Genomic DNA, 8351 nt, shown 5'->3' on the forward strand with positions numbered 1-8351 from the left:
CCTAAAGCTAAAGGTAAATCTTGGCTGGAGTTGCAAATGGGAATGTTAGCAAATGGGAATAGGAATGGTGGTTCTAATGCTTGGGGCTCACCACCTTCCCTCCCTTATACTCCTTTCCTGATGCAGAGTGCCAGAGTAGCCAATACCCCCTTTCAACAGGAGCTCACAGGACAGAAGAAGGTCAAAACTTAAGGAGGAAAATTACATTAAAAGAAAGATCAAAACTGTACAAGACAACAATACATACCACCCAAAGCAAAAATATTAGAGCAAACAGACCAAGGAATTTTTTTTTTTTTTTTGAGACGGAATCTTGCTCTGTCATTTAGGCTGGAGTGCAGTGGTGTGATCTCGGCTCACTGCAACCCCTGCCTCCCAGGTTCAAGCGATTCTCACACCTCCCTAGTAGCTGGGACTACAGACTATGCCCAGGAGAACCCTAGGACCTTCAGGACACCATTTGAAAATTATTCATGGAGAACATGGCATCCTAGAATGAGAAATCCACATCTGGTACTGTCAGCCAGGGTTCCTAGCTTTCAGCAGAGAAAGAACTTATTAAAAATAGATAGGATAGCATAGCTCACCCCACCCCTAAGAGGGAGAGATGACAAGCTTGGAGATAGGAAGAACGGCCTGGATTCACAATGCAGTGAAGATCCTGCTGCTGCCAGGCACAGCAACTCTGGCTCATATCACTAGACATGGGACCTGGCTGGGGGGCTCGTACCAGGAAGCCTGGACACAGGACCCTGCTGCTGGGGCTGTGGCTGCAGGGCTTCTGGAGGGTCTGTGTTGCTGAGACTCCAACTGCTGCCCCCACCCACTGGAATGGAGCCTGCCCCAGTTTCTGATTCACAGTCTGAGGCAGGAGTGTCTCACTGGAAGATCTTGCACCACGGGCCTGTACCTTAGCTTTAAAGAAGGCTGTGGAAAGGCATATATGGCATTTTTGTTTCTGTAATTTGAAGTAGCTCTACCTAATAAGACAGAAAATTCTCCAAAAGGAGAAGGAGGTTCAGATGCTAAGGGAGGAGGAAATAATGACAAATGCTTACTACAGGAACTTTGGCAAGTTGCTTTATCTCTGAGCATTATTCCTCTAGGAAAAATAATGGCCCTTCTAAGTCATCCATCCATCCATCCACCCATCCATCTGTTTATCCATCCATAGCAAACATTTAGTAAGAGCTGTTCTAGCTATCTATTGTTTCATAATAAATGACCCCAGCTTCGTGGCTGAAACAATCATTTCAAGGTATCTCATGACTTTTGTTGGTAAGGAACTCACACAGGACTCAGCTGGGTGATTCTGCTCCCTGTAGAGTCAGCTGGAGTCCTTTGAGATATTCAAGTAGCAGCTGATCTGATCTGGACTTGTCAAAATGGCTTTGCCGACTTAGCTGATCCCTTGACCGGGATGGCTGGAAAGCTGGACTCCGCTGGGCTCCACTCCCTCTCCATGTGGTCTTAGGCCTTTCCACATGGACTCATCAGCAGGGTAGCTGGGCTTCTTACATGAAAGCTCAGGGCTCCAAGAGACAAGGTTTGCCTTAAGGCTAGGCTTAGAGGTGTCATAATGTCACTTCCACCATACTCAGTTGGTCAAAGCAGTCACAGGTTAGCCCAGATTCAAAAGGGGAAATAAAATACATAGACATCACCTCTGGATGGGAGGCATCAGTGAATTTGTGGTAAGAGCCTTTAATCCACTGTAAAAACCAACTATGTGCCAGACAGTGTTAAGAGGGGGAGATACGAAACCAAGACATGGCCCTGTCTTCAAGGAGCTTGCAGTCATACAAGGTTACAAATGAAGGCAGTTAATGAGATCAATGTCAAGAAGCACTGTAAATTGTAAAACAATTTTAATATGAAGGATTGCTTTGTCTCTGAGCTTTATTCCTAAATAATCCTAAAACTAGGATTTAACAAATCCCTATAATGCTCTGAAGTATCAGTTACTGTTTGTTGACTGTTCACCAAGTATCAGGCACTCGGCTAAGAATTGTTTTGGTATAATTCTTCCCAATTCTCAAACCAATCTCACTGCATTAATTTCTTTTTATTCTTTTTTTGAGACGGAGTCTTGCTCTGTCAGCCAGGCTGGAGTGCAGTGGCTTGATCTCGGCTCACTGCAAGCTCCACCTTCCGGGTTCACGCCATTCTCCTGCCTCAGCCTCCCGAGTAGCTGGGGACTACAGGCGCCCGCCACCATGCCTGGCTAATTTTTTGTATTTTTAGTAGAAACGGGGTTTCACCATGTTGGCCAGGATGGTCTTGATCTCCTGACCTCATGATCCGCCCGCCCCAGCCTCCCAAAGTGCTGGGATTACAGGCGTGAGCCACCGCACCCAGCCCATTGCAGCAATTTCTACATGCCAAAGCCTTGCCCATGCTTCTTGTTTGATGACATGATATCTTGGGTTTGGTCTTATATCAGCACCCACCACTCTACCCATTGATGCCACTTAATAGATGCTTCTCGACATGCCCACGCAGGCCTCTAGCCACTTAAGGAGAGATTTTCAATTTACAGTGACCCAACCAACCACTCGTTAGATGCTCTGATCTGTTCCTCTCACAATTATTACTTTAATTTGCTGTCCTCTCTCGGGCCGTGAGGCGACAAGCTTGTAGGCTGCAAGGCAGACAGAGTTGAAGATGTATTTAAAAGTGCTTATGCGCTATTAGCAAAACTTACTAAATTCCTGCTGTGTTTAGGGAACTAGACCACAGAGCACTGTGAGCCAACACAGTTCCTGCCTCAGAGAATAGTCACCCAGACAAGATTTTAAAACTTTTCATTAGTTTTACCTGATTGATAAAATTAGAATGGAGAAAATCAGAAAAGTAAAAAACGAAAAAGCAGCTAGTCATAGTCTCACTATCCAAAACCAGTGCTATTCATATTTTGATTTATTGCCTTCTGGTTATTTCTTTATTTATTTTTAGTTTTAAGAAAATTAATACACTTCATTTTTTAGAACAGTTTAAAGTTTATAGTAAAATTGAGCAGCTAGGACAGCTGTTTCCCTCTGCCCTCCTTCCCTGAACATATTCCCTTCCCTATTATTAACATCGTGTAACAAAGAACTTGTATTAGTGCCATATATTTGTTACAATTAGTGAACCAATATTCATACATTATTATTAAATAAAGTCTATCATTTACTTTAAGGTTTATTCTCTGTGTTGTACAGTTCTGTGGGTTTTGACGAATGCAGGTCAGTATCCATCATTTCAGTATCCTACAGAATAGTTTCAGCATTTATCTTTTGTACCGTCAGCTCCTACCATTGTACACTCCTGCCTGCAGCTTTTTTTCTTGTTTCTTTATTTTTCATATGTGAGCCTAACACAAGCCTTCCTTTATGCTATTGTACCCTTCCTCCACATGTTTATAAACTCTTATAAACATCATGGGATACAACATTCTATACTTAACCATGCCCCTAATGTTGGACATTCATGTTGATGACAAGCGTTCAATTATCATATAGGATATTTTAAAATCATTTCATGGAAATAGATTTCCAGGATCTAGATAGCATTCAGGGGAAAAAAATAATTTAGAAAGAAACAGCATTGTGTGGTGTCCCCCAGCACCTCCCAGACAAAAGGCTTTTGTCTGAAGGTTGGAGGCCTGTGCTGTCTTGGCCTAGTGAGTGCCAGTTTCCGCATGGCTGCCCCTCACCCTTGGGAAGGCTATTGGGGGGTGGGCAGTGCTGGCCTGGGTCTTGCTTCCCTGCTCCTGCAGGAAGGTCTGGGCTTCCTCATTCACTCCCTTCTACTCTCATCCATCAGCACCTTCAAACCGAAACCTGGAACTATGGTATTCTCTTTGGCTCTTAGGACGGGTTGGCTTAATGGGGGAAATATTAATAGCACTGGTGTCGGTGGAAGTGACCTTGAGCCATGTAAAAAGATTCTGATAAAACGTGTCACTCTTGTTACCTATCAGGATCAAACTGCATCACGGAAGCTGCACACGATGACACCCTGTCTGGAAAGTTTTTGCCAGAGGGCAAAAGACTGCAAGCAGAATATCCCTTTGCCATTTCTCATGTAAGTGCACACCAGAACTAATAAGAATAATTTGAGAATAAGAGTACTTTCTTTTTTTTTTTTTTTTTTTTTTGCTGTGAAACTGATAACCATAAAATTTGGTATCTAGAGTCCTGGAGTGTAACAGCTCCTTCTCATACATTAGCTTCCATTCATTACCCCACAACAGTTCTGCATGCTAGCTGGCGTTATTGCCACATTACAGTGAGGGGCCTTGGCGTCTTGGGTTCCTGAGAGATGACATTGCCATATGTGGCTCTTCACGACTGTCCCACAGGCCCTCAGCTGGAATGTGGCAGAACTGGGAGCTGAATCCAGGACAGTGGTTTCCTCATCTGCTCTAGCCAGGAGCAGGCCAGGCCACCCTTCTGGACACAGTCTATCCCACGTGGGGACAGACTGGCCAGCCCCAGCCCGTGGGTCTCAACGCGGCCAGAGCTGCTGTGAGAAATCTTGTTTGTTTTAGCCTTTGGAGTCCTGTCTGTTCTCTGACCTCTGACCCAGAACTGTGTGTTCCAACCACTTCCCAGTCTGTTGTCCTGGCTCAAAACAAAGTGAACGAAAGCTCTTTCCTCAAGCCCTGCTCTCATACTCCAGGGCTCTGTGAAAATGAGTGGTATGGGCACATGGCTGGTGAGTCACTGTGGCCCTAAAATGAGCGGGAAAATAGAGGGCAGGTCCGGGCCTCGCAGGGCACTAATGGCAGGGAAGCAGGAGGGTCAGCATCAGGAGCCTGGCCTTTGGCCCGCAGAGACCTGAGTCCTCCCCTTACTCCTGAGCTGTGTAACCTTAGGCAGGGAACTTACCCCTCTGGGCCTCAGTTTCCTCATCGGGAAAGCAGGGCTGATCATAGTGCATGGCTTATAGAGCAGTTTTGAGGATTTCATGAACAAAAAAACAAAGGTAAAGCACTTAGCCTTCTGCCTGGCATGAGTAAACCCTCAGGAAACTGTAGTTATTATTTAGTAGCCAGGAAAATACAGAACACTTAATCTGTTGGCTCCCTGGTGTTTCTCGAACTGTCAGCAAACACTTCCACATCACCAGCCAGCAGAGCCATTCATCAAACACCTTTGCCTTTGTCTGTCAGGCCTCCCACTTCAACAAGTGTCCCTGGGTTTAAGTCAGTAACCTCCTAGGCACGGAAAGTTGCCTCACGCATGTGACATGCGAGCACGTCTCTAAAGGGGCAGAGGATCTGGCAAAAACATAGACTCGCAACTTGTCTGTTTCCTGAGACACCCACAATTGGCCTCGTGGAAGTGGTTGACTTCTTCCCATAGCTGCCTGTGTCTTACTTCATCGCCTCCTCCAAGCCCAGGGCCAGCCCTGCCTGGCTGGGGGATCATGACAGTCTTTGTTCCCATATGGGCAAAGTCTTTTGAAAAGAGGGAAAGATCATTAGTTAGCTGTCAGCCTCCAGCGTGGTTAGGTCATGAGTAATTCTTCTAGAGAGCCAGAGCACTGGCAATTCATTTGGTCGAGAACGTTTTATCTACTTGAACGGCGTAGCGAGGAAATAAATGGAACAAGTTATATCAAAATCTCTGTCAACTGAACAATTCCTTACCAATCCAACAAGGAGTATGACGACGATGCCACTTTTCCTACCTTTGAGAGGTCATGCACAGACACCGCACATGAACACACCACATTATACCCCCCCCACCACAAATGGGTGTACCCCCTCTCCCCCCACATACTCACTGGTGCACATATACACGCCACACCACATTCTGTAGTGGGGAAAGGATCATGTGCAGCCTTAAGGGCTGGTTTGCGTAACGGGTGCATATTTCTGCTAGTGTTTTTGTTCTTGCAGTCAGGACTGGCCGTTGTCTGAAAGCAAACCTCAAGGACAGGACTTCTGGACTCCGCAGCCACTTCAGGCTGCTGCTCCATCGCATGAATTCCAGCAGGTGGCGCTGCACCCCGCGCGGACCCGGCTTGCCTCTCGGCCCCAGGGAGGTCGGTTGATGAGCAGTCGGGAAGTGGGTCTGCGCGCACCCCGCTGCAGCTGTGGCAAACGCAAACGATGACACACAGGCTTGACGAGGGCCTTTGTCAGAAGCAATGGGGATCTGGCGTCACCGCACAATGGAAAACAAAGTGCTTCTGCCTGGCTGGCCAGAATGCACGTTTGCTCACTATTGATGCTGGGGCATTTACAGGCAGAATGAGTTCATGTGAAATTTCAGGATCTGCCATGACTCAGATTCACTTTCTGTAAACCAGAGTCAACATTACATTTCCCTTTACTCTGGGCCATTCCTTGAATTTTTAGGTCACCAGTTGTTTTTGTACTAACTGAAGGGATTTGAGTATTTCACAAGCACCTTATTTTTATTAGCATTTTTAGGGCATTACCAATTTGGGACGGATCTGTAGTGTGAGAGATTGTTGTCACTCTTAGCTCCAAACATAGGTTGACTTTATATATTATTTACATGTTCAGAATTATACTGTGTAGAAATTCAAATGAAACTTGCAAAATACTTTTCTGGCAGGAAGCCCTGGAGAGGATCGTTCATGGAAACAAGGATGACGACTGGGGTAAGAAATGCAGGTGACTCGTGAGTGGTCAGGGAGTGGAAGAGAAGACGGCTGGAAGGTTTTAGCATTCAGAAAAAAAATGGAGACAACTAGAGTTGATCTGAAGATTATGGCAGAATTCAATATTGGGGGAAAGAAACAAGATGGGGGTTAGAAATTAGAAACAGCAGAGCTCCACAGGTTGGAAAGGTTGGAAAGGATTTGAGCAAGAGAACAAGGAGCCTGCTAATAGCACCCTGGGTTTACATCAAGAGAAGCACCTGGAGAGAATTAACTCGGGAGGAGGTGGGGGCATGGGAAACCTTTTCATCTCCAAGAGCGGGCAGGAACAGCAGCTGGCCTGAACTTGAAGGTACACCAGGTAGCTTGCGTGGGCCAGGAGAAGGTGATTCTCTTCTATGCCTCTCTCCAACGCCCTGCTTCTGATGCTGCTCCTCTACCTGTATTGAGGGGAAGATACATCCCTAAGAAGTTCCCTGAACCCCATTCTTTGTTGTGGCTAACTGGTCCCCTTGGAATTTTTCTACTAATTTTCAATTCCCCCTCTCACCTGGTGAAATCTTGAATCTTACTGTTCAATAAAAGTTCTTCTACCGAAATTTCTATACCACGTTGAATTTTTTGTGTTTCCTTTGTTTTTAGTTCTTTGGGAGTTTTACTTAGAAAAAAAAGCCTCTGGGGACTAGATAAGGAAGGAAACCTTCATGTGGACCCTCTTGAGCTCTGTTTTCTTTCCTGGCCTCACTGGTGTGGGCTCTCTGGCTGCCCTGCTGATCTCTTGCTTTACTGCATTTGGGTGAGGACTGAGGAGAGGGACAGGAGTGTATTCACTGGATACTATTCAGACTAAAGGATTAGATGTCGTAGGTGAATAAGCAAGAAAGCAAACACATAAACAAAACATCTGAACGTTTTCAATCCAAGTGGAGCAGAATTTAGCTTTTCCAGCTAAACTGCCCCACCCCTGGCACCCAGGGAAAATGGTGCTCGTATTGTAATATATTCTCCCATGGATGCATGCAATATTATGAGTATTTTTTGCCTTGTGATGTAAATTCTCTTTCTTCCTCACTCAGAAAAACATATTGTAGTTGAAAGGAAAAAAAAGAATTCTGGCCGGGCGCGGTGGCTCATGCCTGTAATCCCAGCCCTTTGGGAGGCCCAGGCGGGTGAATCATCTGAGGTCAGGAGTTTGAGACCAGCCTGGCCAACATGGCGAAACCCCATCTCTACTAAAAATACAAAAATTAGCCGGGCATGGTGGCAGGTGCTTGTAATCCCAGCTACTCAGGAGGCTGAAACAGGAGAATCGCTTGAACCTGGGAGGCAAAAATTGCAGTGAGCCGAGATTGTACCACTGCACTCCAGCCTGGGCGAGACTCAGTCTCAAAAAAAAAAAAAAGAAAAGAAAAAAGAATTCTGATCCTTTTTGAGTGTGTGTGTGTATGTGTTTTATGTGTGTGTGAGAGGACACAAATTCAAACTGAAACTTTGCTAAGTAATAGGTTTTAACTGATCTGGATACATCAGGGTAGTGAGAACAGTAAGTCTGGAAAAGAAAACAATAGTTATCAATACACATACACTCTCCCATACATAGAACAATGCCTAGGTCTATTGCATTTTAATATCCGCCGAATAGGTAGCATGAATTCACATCATTTCAGCGATGGGGAAATGGAAACTCGCAGAGAGCTTAACTGAATTTCCTGAGACCATGGGATGTCAGA

The 8351-nt window shown here is 45.5% G+C and overlaps 1 long non-coding RNA gene across 1 annotated transcript in view; it reads left to right on the forward strand.

Moving 5' to 3' along the window:
- LINC01554 (long intergenic non-protein coding RNA 1554) overlaps positions 1-7220 on the forward strand; it is a 7902-nt gene extending 682 nt beyond the window's left edge. Inside the window, exons 2-3 of the long non-coding RNA NR_026936.1 lie at positions 3965-4068; positions 5891-7220. This is a non-coding gene — a long non-coding RNA (long intergenic non-protein coding RNA 1554). The remainder of the gene's footprint in view (positions 1-3964; positions 4069-5890) is intronic.
- The last annotated feature ends 1131 nt before the right edge of the window (positions 7221-8351 follow it).

This window comes from Homo sapiens, chromosome 5, assembly GCF_000001405.40.
Source record: "Homo sapiens chromosome 5, GRCh38.p14 Primary Assembly".
NCBI lineage: Eukaryota > Metazoa > Chordata > Mammalia > Primates > Hominidae > Homo > Homo sapiens.